Source organism: Homo sapiens, chromosome 5, assembly GCF_000001405.40.
Source record: "Homo sapiens chromosome 5, GRCh38.p14 Primary Assembly".
Taxonomy (NCBI): Eukaryota; Metazoa; Chordata; class Mammalia; order Primates; family Hominidae; genus Homo; species Homo sapiens.
The window spans coordinates 138,490,108-138,504,611 of record NC_000005.10 but is presented as its reverse complement, the minus strand read 5'-3'; the positions used below and the strand labels follow the sequence as shown (position 1 = coordinate 138,504,611).

The following is a 14,504-nucleotide window of genomic DNA, read 5'->3' as shown; positions in this document are numbered from 1 at the left end:
GAGCCCAGAACCAAACAAGGGAGTCAAGAAAAGCTCTGGTTCTGCTGGGCACCATGGCTCACGCCTGTAAACCCAACACTTCAGGAGGCCAAGGCAGGTGGATCACCCGAGGTCAGGAGTTCAAGACCAGCCTGACCAACATGGTGAAACCCCGTCTCTACTGAAATTACAAAAACTAGCCGAACAGGTGGTGGGCGCCTGTAATCCCAGCTACTCAGGAGGCTGAGGCACAAGAATTGCTTGAACCTGGGAGGCAGAGGTTGCAGTGAGACGAGATGGCACCACTGCACTCCAGCCTGGGCGACAGAGAGACTGTCTCGAAAAAAAGAAAAAAAGGCTCTGGCTCTGCAGTTAACTGGGTTTGTGACTTCACAGTATCAGGCAGTCCCTGAATCTGAAGTGCCGTGCCAGCCAGCTTCCCAGGAAGCTATCAGGAGAGTGCAGTAGGAAGCAGGATCTCTGAGGTCTGAGGTAGAAATCCTGGCGCCACCTGAGAGGCTGGCAAATTATTCCATGTCTTTGAGTAGCAGTTTCACCACCTGTAATAAGGATTAAATGGAGTAAGGCACATGAAGGCACTTAGCAAGGACTGGGATGGCAGCTACTCATGGTTCTTCCTCTCCCAACCTTGGTCCTCTGGAAGTGGCCAGGGAAAGTTTGTGCTGGTGACCACAAGGTGGTGGTATAGAGTTAAGGATGCTGACTGGAAGAAATTTGCTTCATCTGAAGTAGGGGGGATTTCTGACAAGCATTAAGAGGTGCCTGGGACAACTTGCTTTGCCCTTAAATTTTAGGAAAGTGGAGAGGGCAGTTTAACAAAGGAGTAGGGATGAGTGAACGGAGAGGAGATCCCAGGAGTCTCAATCCAGCTCTGCCCAGTTTTCTTACTCCTTATTCTGGGCTTTGAGCTATCCGTCTGTGAAGTAACTATAGTCACTGACATTTGTTGAACAGTTATGTAATCCTTAGAAAAACGTAGTGAGGGAGATGCTGTTTATATCTTCCCATCCACGTTCTACTAAGTGGCAAAATCTGGGACTCAAAGTCAGGTCTGTTTGGTTCCAAAGCCAGTGCAAATGCAGGTCATCCCTACAGAGTGAAATAAAACAGCATGAAGAAGGGCTTCCTGGGGGGCCCTTGGCCCCAAGTAGGTGAGCAATCCTGGAAGTGATGAGAAGAAGGCAAAGCTGTACCTGGGAATGTCAAGCCCATTCTCAGAAAGGACTCTCAGAAAGAGTCTCATTCGACTCTAGTCCTTAGTCTACAGCCATACCTTTATATAGCTTTTCTCCACAATACCCAATACTTAGACTTCTTAAGGAATTATAATTTTAGCACCTAATTTTTTTTTTTTTTTTTGAGACAGGGTCTTACTCTGTCACCCAAGCTGGAATGCAGTGGTGCAGTCTTGGCTCACTACAGCCTCAACCTCCCAGGATCAAGCGATCCTCCCACCTCAGCCTCCCGAGTAGCTGGGACTGCAGGCACACACCACCACACCTGGCTAATTTTTGGTTTTTTGTTGTTTTTGTAGAGATGAGGTTTCGCCATGTTGCCCAGCCTGGGTGTTTTTTTTTTTTTGAGATGGAGTCTTGCTCTGTCACCCAGACTGGAGTGCAGGGGTGCGATCTCGGCTCACTGCAAGCTCTGCCTCCCAGGTTCATGCCATTCTCCTGCCTCAGCCTCCTGAGTAGCTGGGACCACAGACGCCAGCCACCACGCCCGGCTAATTTTTTGTTTTTGTTTTTTTAGTAGAGGCAGGGTTTCGCCGTGTTAGCCAGGATGGTGTTGATCTCCCGACCTTGTGATCCGCCCGCCTCAGCCTCCCAAAGTGCTGGGATTACAAGCGTGAGCCACTGTGCCCAGCCTCCCCAGGCTGGTCTTGAATTCCTGAGCTCAAGTGATTGGCCCGCCTCTGTCTCCCAAAGTGTTGGAATTCCAGGTGTGTGCCACTGTGCCGGGCCCCTTAATTTTAGCACTAGAAAGGGTCTTGCACCTTACCTATTCCAATCCCCTCACTAAAGACAGAAGAAAGCTGAGGCCAGAGAGGAATATAGTGACCTGTCAGGCTCATGCAGCAAATTAGCAGAGCCAACATGAACACTTGCTCCAACTCCAGATTCGGTGCTCTTAACAGCCGGATGATCTTGTTATTCTTCATCCAGGCCCTGTTCTCTCTAATGTTATAAATGAGAGAAGGGACAATTGGAGGGAGCACGTGGCCTGAAACCAAAGAGCTAGGAGAGGAAAGGTGGCCAACATCCAGATGGAGTTATGAAAGCTGTTTGAAGTCACTTCCCTGTGAGTCAAGGTTGGCTTGGGTGTGTGGATCAACTTGCTTCTTCAGCCCCCGGCCTTCCAAATTAGCCCCATCTAGCTCTCCCTGACTGCCACAGACTTCCAGCTCCTCCCACTCTGCTGAGATACTATACCTAGGCTTAGCCCCTTCTGCTTGCCTGTCCATCCCCACTCAAAGCTAGAGGGCAAACCCATTTCCAAGGAAGCCAGGAGAATAAGGAAGGAGGGTGGAAACTTGAGAGAAAGGCTCCGAGCAGGAATGGCAAGGATCTTCTGAGAGGCAAAGATGCAGAGATATTCCGATTCCTGGGAGAAGGCATGAGGAGAAATCAGGGCTTGATGATGCCAGGACCCTCTGCCCCATGTTGTATTACTGTCCAGACCCAAAGACATGCCCAGCCTAGGCTCTCTGGTGGGGAAAGGCAACATGAGCCAGCTGGGGTGGGCCTGGAGGGCCTGCAGAGGGGGACTCTTTGTAATAAGGCAGGATGTTGCCTGGGAGAGAGTTGCTCCTCCAGATAAAGACGAATTTCTGTGCTCAGGGCTAGAGGCCCTCCCTTGCACCCCTGTCGGGCTCTGATTCTGAAAGGTAACATGGAAGGAGTTCTACCCCAGTCTCCTCCAGCCTTCTCCACAGACGCACTCCACGGCCACCTCTATTCCTTAAATGAGACTTGGGTTAAGCCAGTCTCATTCCTTGACTCAGCAAGCATTTAGACATGTCCCGTGTACTAGGTCCCGTGCAAGATTCAGTGGCAAACAGTGCAGGTGCACACCCTGCCCTTCGGTGTTGAAGGTCCAGCAGTGGAGACTCTGAACAAGGAATGACAATGAGTGTTAAAGGACAAGGGGAGTGCAGGGTGGCTCCTTCCTCCTCTGGGGGTGCTAGGTCTATGTGGGGACCTGGGTTAGCTGGAGAGATGAGAGGGTGAGTTTGGAGAGGCACGTGGATCAGTCCTGACTGGATCCAAAGGCCAGGAAGACATTCAGATTTCAGGACACTGTTTTTTCTTTTCTTTTCTTTTCTTTTCTTTTTTCTTTTTCTTTCTTTCTTTTTTTTTTTTTTTTTTTTTTTTTTTTTTTTTTTTTTTGAGACAGAGTCTCTCTGTGTTGCCAGGCTGGAGTGCAGTGGCGTGCCCTCGGCTCACTGCAACCTCCACCTCCTGGGTTCAAGTGATTCTCCTGCCTCAGCCTCCCGAGTATCTGGGACTACAGGCGTGCGCCATCACACCTGGCTAATTTTTGTATTTTTAGTAGAGACAGGGTTTCACCATGTTGGCCAGAATGGTCTCGATCTCCTGACCTCGTGATCCGCCCGCCTTGGACTCCTAAAGTGCTGAGATTACAGGTGTGAGCCACCGTGCCCGGCTAGGACACTGGTTTTTTCATCCTGCTGTCATTTCTGTGGTTTGTTTATTAACAGCTTTATTGAGGTATAATTTACAAACTATAAAATTAACCCACTGTAGGTATAGTTTGGCTATTTATTTTTAAAAGTAAATGTGTGTAGGCCAGGCCTACACGCCTGGCCTCTAATATCTTGATCCCGGAAGGTGGAGGCTGCAGTGAGCCAAGATCCCACCACTGCACTCCAGCCTGGGTGACAGTGAGACTCTGTCTCAAAAAAAAAAAAAAAAAAGTAAATTTGTATAGTTATGTAAACATCCCACAACTCACAACTTAATGTTCAGCATCCCAAAAAGATTATTTGTGCTCTTTTGCAGTCAATCTCTGTTCCCACATCCAACCCTGGGCAACTACTGATCAATCTACTTGCTTTGTTTTTTTTTTATTTTTTATTTTTGGAGACAGAGCCTTGCTCTGTCGCCCAGGCTGGAGTGCAGTGGCGCGATCTCAGCTCACTGAAACCTCCGCCTCCCGGGTTCAAGCAATTCTTATGCCTCAGCCTCCTGAGTAACTAGGACTATAGGTGCCTGCCACCACGCCCAGCTAATTTTGCTATTTTTAGTAGAGACGAGGTTTCACCATGTTGGCCAGGCTGGTCTCAAACTCCTGGCCTCATGTTATCTGCCCACCTTGGCCTCCCAAAGTGCTGGGATTATAGGCATTAGCCACCACGCCCAGCTGCTACTGATCTGCTTTCTACCTCTACAGTTCTGGCCTTCCTAGAAATTTTTATATTAATGGAAAAGCACAACATGTAGTCTTTTATGTGAAGCTTCTTTCATTTAGATAAATTTTTGAGATACATCTATCCTATCTTTCTTTCTTTTTTTTTTTTTTGAGATGGAGTCTCACTCTGTCACCTAGGCTGGAGTGCAGTGGCTCAATAACAGCTCACTGCAGCCTTGATCTCCTGAGCTCAAGTGATTCTCTCGCCTCAGCCTCCCAAGTAGCTGGGATTACACCACCATGTCAGGCTATTTTTTGTATATATATATATTTTTTATAGAGATGGGGTCTCCTTATGTTGCTCAGGGTGGTCTTGAACTCCTAGCTCTAAGTGATCCTCCCGCCTCAGCCTCCCAGTGCTAGGATTACAGGTGTGAGTCACCATGCCCAGCCTGTTGCATGTTCATTTTTATTGTTGAGTAGTATGATACAATAAGAAATACATATACAGGTCTTTGCTCCACTCCTTTCCTGGCATGCAGCTCCTAAAACCCATGGAATCTCCAGAGTGATGAGAGTGTCTTTTCTATGCTAATATGATTACTGATGACTGGGGGCCCCTAGGTAGCTTCAGGATGGGGACTGGTCACCAGAACGACCAAAACGTGATTAGAGAGTAGAGCTTTTGGGCCAGGCGCGGTGCCTCATGCCTGTAATCCCAGCACTTTGGGAGGCCAAGGCGGGCAGATCATTTGAGGTTAGGAGTTCAAGACCAGCCTGACTAACATGGTGAAATCCTGTCTCTACTAAAAATACAAAAAAACATTAGCTGGGCCTGGTGGCATATGCCTGTAATCCCAGCTACTCAGGAGGCTGAGGCAGGAGAATCGCTTGAACCTGGGAGGCAGAAGCTGCAGTGAGCCAAGATCACTCCACTGCATTCCAGCCTGGGCAACAGAGCTAGACCTGTCTCCAAAAAAAAAAAAAAAAAAAAAAAAAAAAAAGTGCAGCTTTCAGCACCTGCCTCCCACCTCCAGAGAGCGGAAAGGGGCTGGAGGTTGACTTAATCACTGATGGCCAATGATTTTATCAATCATCCCTATATAATGAGACCTCCATAAAACCCCCTAAATGATGGGGTTCAGGAAGCTTCCAGGTTGGTGAACACATTGAAGTGCTGGGAGGGTAGCATGCCCAGAGAGGGGATGAAAGCTCTGCACCCATACCTTGCCCTATGCATCTGTTCTGTTGAGTTGTATCCTTTATAATAACCTACCATAATGTGTAGATTTTTCCTGAGTTCTGTGAGCTGTTCTAGCAAATTATCAAACTTGAAGAGGGGGTCATGGGAACCCCTTACAGCCAGTTAGTCAGAAGTACAGGTGGTAACTTGTGACTGGCATCTAATATTGGGGCAGTCTTATGGAACTGAACCCTTAATCTGTGGGGTCTGTTAACTTAGGGTATTAGTGTCAGAATTGAGTTGAATTGTAGGACACCAAGTTGTGTCTGGAGAGTTGGAGAATAGGTTGATGTGGGAACAAAACTCCACACATTTGGTGTCAGAAGTGTTGTGGGTAAAACAGCACAAAAGTAGTATTCCATTGTATGAATATACCGCATTTTGTTTATCTCTTCCACTGGTGGATATTTGGACGGTGTCCAGTTTTTAGCTGTTTGAATAATGCTGCTATGAACATTCACATACTAGTCTTTGTGTGAATATATGTTTTTTGTTTCTCGTGGGTTGATACTGTATATCTTTGGAGAAATGTCTATTCAACTCCTTCGCCCATCTTGAATTGGTTTATCTTGTTGAGTTATAACAGTTCTTTATACTCTAGATACCAAACCCTTATTAGATATATTATTTGCAAGTATTTTCACTTTCTTGATAATGTCTTCTGATGCACAAAACTAATTTTGGTGAAGTTCAATTTATCTGTTTTTCTGTTGTTGCCATATCTGTTGTTTGCCAAATCCAAGGTCATGATTTACCCATGTTTTCTTCTCTTAGAGTTTTAGCCCAGGCACAGTGGCTTCTGCCTATAATCCCAGCACATTGATAGGCCAAGGCAGGAAGATGGTTTGAAGCCAGGAGTTCAAGGCCAGCCTGGGCAACATAGCAAGACCTCAACTCTACAAAAAATTTAAAAATTAGCTGGGTGTGGTGGTGCACACCTGTAGTCATAGCTGCTTGGGAGGCTGAAGCAGGAGGATTGTTTGAGCCCATGAGTTTGAGGTTGCAATAAGCTATGACTGTGCCATCTCACTCCAGCATGGATGACAGAGCAAGACCCTATCTATTATGTGTCACTGGCCCATTTTGAGTTAGTTTTTGCATATGGTATGAGGTCAGGGGTCTGACATCATACTTTTGCATGTGAGTATCTAGTTGTTGTGGGGTTGGGCATTGTGGCTCACACCTGTAATCCCAACACATTGAGAGCCCAAGGCAAAAGGATCACTTGAGCCCAGGAGTTCAAGACCAGCCTGGACAACATAGGGAGACCCCATCTCTACAAAAAAGTTAGCTGGATGTGGTGGCACTCACCTGTGGTCCCAGCTACTGGGGAGGCTGTCGTGGGAAGATCACTTAAGCTTCGGAAGTCAAGGCTGCAGTGAGCCATGGTGCTGCCACTGCACTCCAGCCTGAGTGACAGAGCAAGACCCTGTCTCAAAAAAAAAAAAAAAAAAAAAAAAAAAAAAAAAAGTTGTGCAAGCACCATTTTGTTGATGAAACTATTATTTCCCCCATTTAATGCTCTTTGCTCCCTTGGAGAAAATCAGTTGACCATAGGTATATGGGATTATTTCTGAACTCTGAACTCTCTGAATTACTTCTGAACTCAGAAATAATCCCATATACCTATGGCCAACTGGGTATGGTATAATAATCCCATATACAACTGATATAGATATATAGGTTTGTATTTCTAACTTTATTATACCAGTACCACATTGTTTTGATTTATGTTACGTTGTAGTATGTTTATTTGTTTGATCTTTTTTTGAGACAGAGTCTCTTTCTGTTGCCCAGGCTGGCATACAGTGACAGGATCATGGCTCACTGCATACTCTACCTACTGGGCTCAAGCAAACCTCCCACCTCAGCCTCCTGAGTAGCCTGTACTATAGGTGTGTGCCACCATGCCCAGCTAATTTTTTTTTAATTTTTAATAGAGTTGGGGTCTCACTGTTGCCCAGACTGGTTTTGAACTCCTGGTCTCAAGTGATCCTCCTGCCTTGGCCCTGCAAAACACCAGGATTACAGGCATGAACCACCATGCCCCACCAACTTCTAATATTAAACATTAAAGTGAAGCTGGGTGCAGTGGCTTGTGCCTGTAATCCCAGCACTTTGGGAGGCTGAGGCAGGCAGATTGCTTGAGGTCAGGAGTTCGAGACCAGCCTGGCCAACATGGCGAAGCCCCTTCTCTACAAAAATACAAAAATTAGCCAGGCGTGGTGGCACACAGCTATAATCCCAGAAGCTGAGGCAGGAGAATCTCTTGAACCTGGAGGTGGAAGTTGCAGTGAGCTGAGACCACACCTGCACTCCAGCCTGGGTGACAGAGCAAGACTGTCTCAAAATGAAATAAATGTGAGCTGGCCGGGTGCAGTGGCTCATGCCTGTAATCCAAGCACTTGGGGAGGCCGAGGCGGGCAGATCACAAGGTCAAGAGATCGAGACCATTCTGCCCAACATGGTGAAACCCCGTCTCTACTAAAAATACAAAAAATTAGCCAGGCGTGGTGGCAGGCACCTGTAGTCCCAGCTACTCCAGAGGCTGAGGCAGGAGAATGGCATGAACCCAGGAGGCGGAGCTTGCAGTGAGCCGAGATCGTGCCACTGCACTCCAGCCTGGGTGACAGAGCAAGACTCCATCTCAAAAAATAAATAAATAAATAAATAAAATGTTAGCTATATACACATTTAAGAAAGATTCATAAGAACAAGGATTGGCCAGGCGTGGTGGCTTATGCCTGTAATCCCAGCACTTTGGGAGGCCGAGGCGGGTGGATCACCTGAGGTCGGGAGTTCGAGACCAGCCTGGCCAACATGGAGAAACCCCGTCTCTACTAAAAATACAAAATTAGCTGGGCATGGTGGCGCATGCCTGTAATCCCAGCTATTCGGGAGGCTGAGGCAGGAGAATTGCTTGAACCTGGGAGGCGTAGGTTGTGGTGAGCCAAGATCACTCCATTGCACTCCAGCCTGGGCAACAAGAGCGAAACTGTCTCAAAAAAAAAAAACAAAACAAGGATTATTTACTCAATTTTTGGTGAATCAGGGATGTTGTGGTGGTGGGTTACATGAAGAAATAAATGTTTGCAAAACAAAAATTGCAAGGAGCACCTCCTACTGCTTCACCTGCCTGAGTTCAAAAACAATCACAAATATGGAAGGCTTGCTGAGCACTTTCATATGGCATTGTTTGTCATTGTGCACCATATGATTATTGGATATTTACAGATTTTTATTTGACAATAATTTGTATTCATTCATTCATTTTCCACCCCACTTCTTCCAGTTGCGGGTCTCAGGTGGCAGGAGCCCATCCCAGTAGCTTTCAGGGCACAAGGAAAACACCAACCCTAGACAAGATGCCATTCCACGGCAGGGCACACTCACAAACACACCCACACTCATTCATCCAGCGACCATTTAGACATGCTGATTCATCTAATGAGTACATCTTTGAGATGTGTAAGGAGACCAGAGTTCCCAGAGAAAGCCCATGCAGACACGGGGAGAACGTACCAACTCCACCCAAACAACTCCAGCTGAAAACTGATTTTTTTTCTCATCAATGTTATAAGGAAAGGACGTTGAACTGAATAAAATGACGTTTTTTGAGGACCTGTAGTCAACAAGGCAGACACAGTCCGTGTCAATAAAGAGCGCTCAATCTAGTGGCAAACCCAGCCAAAGAAAAAATGCCATGGGCCGGGTGCCGTGGCTCACGCCTGTAATCCCAGCACTTTGAGAGGCCGAGGTGGGAAGATCACCTGAGGTCAGGAGTTCTAGACCAGCCTGGCCAACATGGTGAAACCCCATCTCTACTAAAAAAAATTTAAAAATTAGCCGGGGGTGGTAGCGGACGCCTGTAATCCCAGCTACTTGGGAGGCTGAGGCAGGTGAATTGTTGAACCCAGGAGGCGGAGGTTGCAGTGAGCCAAGATGGCGCCACGGCACTCCAGCCTGGGCAACAAGAGCGAAACTCCATCTCAAAAAAAAAGAAAAAAGAAAAAAAAAAAGCCCTGGTTTGGTGGTTAAAAGCACAGAGGGTTTTGTGGGGCCGGGAGACAAAAGTGGCACCCAATCCACTGGCAAGAGAAGGTTTGGTTTCTTGTTTCTTTTTTAGACGGAGTCTTGCTCTGTCACCCAGGCTAATTTTTGTATTTTTTTTAGAGACAGGGTTTCACCGTGTTAGCCAGGATGGTCTCGATCTTCTGACCTTGTGATCCGCCCGCCTCGGCCTCCCAAAGTGCTGGGATTACAGGCGTGAGCCACCGCGCCCAGCTTGAGAAGGTTTGGTTTCTGTCTGGAAATCTCATTTTGTGGAGGAAGCAAGCACAGGAAAACAATGAGAAAAAAATGCAGGAAATAACAGGCGGCTGTGGTATTATTGGGTGTCACATTGGCAGTTGTTGAAAGATTATCAATCCCAGGCTCCAGTATTCCTAACAGGCCCGAAAGCCAGCCCCAGGACCACTAGAGCATAGGTCCTCTCTTAAGGCAGGGAATAGCCCAGGACCCTTACTGTTTCATAGGGCTTTCAAAGAATCAAGGCCCCCACACGGGCGCAGTGGCTCGCGCCTGTAATCCCAGCACTTTGGGAAGCCGAGGCGGGAGGATCGCAAGGTCAGGAGTTCAAGAGCAGCCTGGCCAATATGGTGAAACCCCTTCTCTACTAAAAATACAAAAAAATTAGCCGGACATGGTGGCGCATTCCTGTAATCCCAGCTACTCGGGAGGCTGAGGCAGGAGAATTGCTTGAAACCGGGAGGCGGAGGTTGCAGTGAGCCAAGATCAGACCACTGCACTCCAGCCTGGGTGACACAGTGAGACTCCGTCTCAAAAAAAAAAGAATCAAGGACCCTGCACACAGAAGAGAATAAAAGCCCTACCCAAGCAGAGGCCTGGGGTTCCTGCAAATTCTGTAGCAGCCTACAGGAGCTCCCCTCACACCTTGCCCCTTGGCTAAGCTCAATCATAAATAGCTCACTGGTTTCCAGCCTGGGATCTCCCATCCCTGCAAGGAGCCCACCTCCTCACTCTGACTTGCCCTCCTCCTGGAGCAGGAAGGCGGGTGGCTGTCAGGGGCCTGAGAGGAGGGGAGGAGAGGGCAGGAAGCAGCATCACTAGGAGCCTGGCCTCTGTGGACTGCATTACCCACAATCCTAGAGCATAGATCTACAGAGAAGGCTGCTGGGGGCCTGCAGCCCTAAGTGGGAAAACAAGCCAAGAGGTATCCTAGGCTCTAAGTGTGCAGCCCAGATTCTGAGACCCAGTTTTTTCCCAAACCTACCTCCTGGACCTTTGAGATTCTCTCCATGCACCCTATTCACAGGCATTCAGCCAACCTGGGGCTGTGGAGACCCACAAGGCTCCTTAAATTTTGGATTTGCAGCCACTGTGTGTGTGTGTGTGTGTGTGTGTGTGTGTGTGTGTGTGTGTGTGTGTTGCGCCTGGAAGCCACTGTGTGTGTGTGTGTGTGTGTGTGTGTGTGTGTGTGTGTGTGTTGCGCCTGGAAGCCTGTGAGTGATTTTATTCTGGATCAAGCCCAGAGGCTGCTTGGCCCTAAAAGGCCCTTCTCTGACATATTCACCCACTCAGCCCCAAGCTCTGAGCTTTTCTTTCCCTGCCTTACCTGTGGCAGAACAATCACAGGCTCACAGGCGGGTCTAGCTGGCCACATGGGGACTTGCTTGTCTCCTCCCCAGCAGAAAGCTGGACTTTGTGACAGCTGTCCTGCTGGAACATGGGGGGAGGGGGCTCGGGAACTGTTGCTGGCAGCCCTCTGTGCTGAGATCCAGTCCCTGTTTGTGACCTTTCTCATGGCAGATCAGATCAGGGTAACCACATGGCTGGGCCAGGTTTGTTTCTGGAGGCGCTGTCGGGAGGGCCTGTAGGGGCTTGCTGGTTCTTTCAGTGGTGGATAAACCAGAGCTGTCAGGCTGAGCAGGAGAGGCCCTTCTGGGTGATGGGGGCACCCAGGGGCAGTGCTCAGCCCCAACTCACTCCAGGTGTACACTTGCCCCAGCTGTGGCTCCCCTCACCCTACCCCTCCAGCTTTCTCCTGCAGAGTCAAACTACTCAAGTAGGGTTGTGGGGTCATGAGCCTCAGACCACGGGGAGCCATAGCAGGTGGAGACGTTGGGGACCAGACCTAAAGTCAAAAATGACTGTCCAAGGTGAAAAGGGACTGCGGCAGGCCTGAAACAGGATCACTCAGATAACGACACTTTGTTAAGATCCTATGATCCTAAATCAGCTCAGCAGAGGCTGGTGACCTATGGGTGGGGGTGGGAAGGATTTCCAGGAGGCCAGAAGTCTGAACCAAGTAAAGGATGCGTAGCAGTTCTTTCTGCCAGAATAGTGTGGGAAGGGTATTCCAGGCGGAGGGGGCAGCTCGGCTGAAGCCAGGGAGGTACGAGAAGCGCAAGCGGGGAGGAAGAGAGATGTCAGGGAAGACCCACTTGTCAACTCTCAGGGGAGAGCGGCCGGCGAGGCTCGGAGGCCCGTGTGGCTGGAGGTCCCGGGCTGGGGCCGCTGAAAGACCTCCGGCAGGGCGTGCTGTGCTCCGGGCTAGGGGAGAAAAGCGAGGCAAAATACGAAACCAGCGGGGACCAGCGGGACCCCCAAGTCGGCCCGTCCCGCGCCTCCCGCGCCGGGCCAGGCCCCGCGTTCCCGTCCCTCCCGCCGCTGCCGCCCCCTCCTTGGCAGCAGGTCCGCTGGCCGCGGGCTCCGAGGTTGGGCGGGCCCAGCGGACCGGGCTCCCAGCCCGCGGGCCGCCAGCCAGCCGCGCCGGGAAGGAAGCGCCTTGTATGGGCCTGGGGCCGGGAGGAAGCGCCTTGTAGGGCTCGGGGAGGAAGCGCCATACATGGCGCGGGGCGGACGGGGGCGGGCCGGGGGCGGGAGCCCGCCCGGGATGGAGCCGTTTCCGCCGGAGCCTCTGCGGGCACCGAGCCTCGCAGCCGCGGGCGGGGCGCAGGGGCGCAGGGGCTCCGGGGTTCTACGCGGCCTCGACGCCTGCGGGCCCGGTGGGAATTCCAGCAAAGCCATGCACGATCTGTGGCCTTGGGTGCAGTGCCTTCGTCTCTGAGCCTCGGGCCCTCTCCGGAGGCTGGGGTGAAACGAGAGGCTGCCGGGGGGCCCGCGTGGCGGCCCCGGGCCCTCGCAGTTGCAGGCTGCAGGAGCGGTTTCCCAGACGCCGGCTGGTCGTGCCCCTTTAGCCTCTTCCCAGCCGTCTCAGGCCCGGGAAGCCTGTACGAAGGGCAGAATGAGGAGCGGACGGCTTCGGGAGAGATCTTTCCAGAAGAAAATAGGGCACCCTGAATGTGGAGTTTTCCTTTCCAGTTCAGACAGCGAGGTTCCAGCCCCAGCGTCTCCCCTTGCCAGCCGGGTGATGCTGGGACGGGTACTCACCTTCTCCTGAGCCTGTGTCCTCATCTCCTCCGTGAAATGGGAGTGAGAGTTCCTGCTGTGCAGGTTTGTGGAGATAATTAAATGAAATGGGGGCTGTGTCAAGTGCCTGACGTGGCGTAGGTGCTTCGGCAGTGCCAGCTCCTCAGTCCTCTGTGCCCTTTCCCTGTTCGGGAGTGGGGGCCATTCTCCCTGGAAGCCCTGCCCCTTGAAGGAGACGCTCCTCCTTAGGCATCTTGGGGCCTCCTCGCCAAGACTGGGCCTTCTCCATAGGCATGCCTGTGGCCCCACTGCCCCAGTGACCTGCCATGCCCTCTTCTATCTAACCCAGAGCATAGGTAACCTCCTAGACCATCCTGTGAAGGCAGAAAGAACCTGGGGGAAGTCGAGGTTCCCATCACAGCCAGAAACTGGTATCTAGGACACCGTCCCCTCCCACGCCTGCTGTCAGTACCACACCCACACATTTCACCAAGAGATGGGTATCAATCTCAGAGAAGCATTTCCCAATCCTCGCTTGCTGGCCCTGCCCTGCCCTCATCAGTCCTGCCCATCCCGGAGTCCCACTGAAATCTAACCTGAATCCTCCTGTTCCATCCTGCTGAGCAGCAGTCCGCAGTCCCTGATAGATTCCAGGCAAGTTTGTGGACACACAATAGATGCATGTCACCCACAGCCTTGTTTCCTTTCATCCCTGTCAGGCAAGGAGGCTGTCGTTGGCATGGTAACTTTCCCTGTAAAAGTTGCAGCCCTCAAGGATGTTTTTCAATTCCAGCAGGGACACAGCTCCTTCCCGACATTGTAGACTACGGGGTGACATGTAGATGTGTCATTCTGGCCTCCCCCGGAATGGGGACATGGAGCTGGCAGCACAAAAGGATGGGTTCGTGGAGGGCAGCAAAAGGCTTAAGGGAGATGTCGATTGGATCTCTGAGGAACAGGTTCCTTCTGCCCTGTGTTCTGATACTCTGCCACCCAGAGAAACCAGTTCTGAGGCCCAGAATATTTCGGGAGACTCTTGGGATCTCATAGTGAAAGATAAACACATATCTTCGCTAGAACCAGGCCCCTGACAAATAGCATGATGCCCAGGGCTTAATTCCATAGAATAAGCTGATAAATCATAAAGCCTCCAAAATCCAGCGATTTCCTTTCTCTTCGATTCCTCTGTGGAATAAATGAATATTTATTAGCCATCTCCCGTGTCCCAGCTTCCCATACATCATTTCAACTAATTCTCTGCACAGTTCCTATGAGGGACGTATTACAACATTCATTTTGCAAATAGGGAAACTAGAATTTGGGGAAAGATCTTAAGCACCTTGACCAAAAATCACACGGCCGTGGAGTGGCAGCACCAGGGCTGGGACCCCATTCTTCAGAGCCCAACCCCGTACCTTTTCCACTAGTTCTGTGTTCCTTTATATTTGCTTCTGTGCTACAGGTAAAGATAGTCTTCCCCGCAGGCTCCAAGGCACTG

General features: G+C 50.2%; 1 long non-coding RNA gene across 1 annotated transcript, besides 5 other annotated features; it reads right to left on the bottom strand.

The window, feature by feature from the left end:
* Positions 10,841-11,532: an enhancer, noted in NCBI's record as "H3K4me1 hESC enhancer chr5:137828769-137829460 (GRCh37/hg19 assembly coordinates)". NCBI's record gives its function as "activates a minimal SCP1, AML or CMV promoter by ChIP-STARR-seq in primed H9 embryonic stem cells {active_cell/tissue: H9 hESC(primed)}" and the evidence as "EXISTENCE:reporter gene assay evidence [ECO:0000049][PMID:30033119]".
* Positions 11,287-12,284, bottom strand: LOC124901078 (uncharacterized). The gene is made up of 2 exons (XR_007058953.1): positions 12,079-12,284; positions 11,287-11,350 (listed from the first exon to the last, which is right to left on the bottom strand). It is a non-coding gene; the product is annotated as an uncharacterized LOC124901078 (long non-coding RNA).
* Positions 12,129-12,768: a silencer, noted in NCBI's record as "silent region_16400". NCBI's record gives its function as "represses an Ori minimal core promoter by ATAC-STARR-seq in GM12878 lymphoblastoid cells {active_cell/tissue: GM12878}" and the evidence as "EXISTENCE:reporter gene assay evidence [ECO:0000049][PMID:35858748]".
* Positions 12,129-12,919: a biological region, named in NCBI's record as "H3K27ac-H3K4me1 hESC enhancer GRCh37_chr5:137827382-137828074".
* Positions 12,227-12,919: an enhancer, noted in NCBI's record as "H3K27ac-H3K4me1 hESC enhancer chr5:137827382-137828074 (GRCh37/hg19 assembly coordinates)". NCBI's record gives its function as "activates a minimal SCP1, AML or CMV promoter by ChIP-STARR-seq in primed H9 embryonic stem cells {active_cell/tissue: H9 hESC(primed)}" and the evidence as "EXISTENCE:reporter gene assay evidence [ECO:0000049][PMID:30033119]".
* Positions 12,920-13,613: an enhancer, noted in NCBI's record as "H3K27ac-H3K4me1 hESC enhancer chr5:137826688-137827381 (GRCh37/hg19 assembly coordinates)". NCBI's record gives its function as "activates a minimal SCP1, AML or CMV promoter by ChIP-STARR-seq in naive H9 embryonic stem cells {active_cell/tissue: H9 hESC(naive)}" and the evidence as "EXISTENCE:reporter gene assay evidence [ECO:0000049][PMID:30033119]".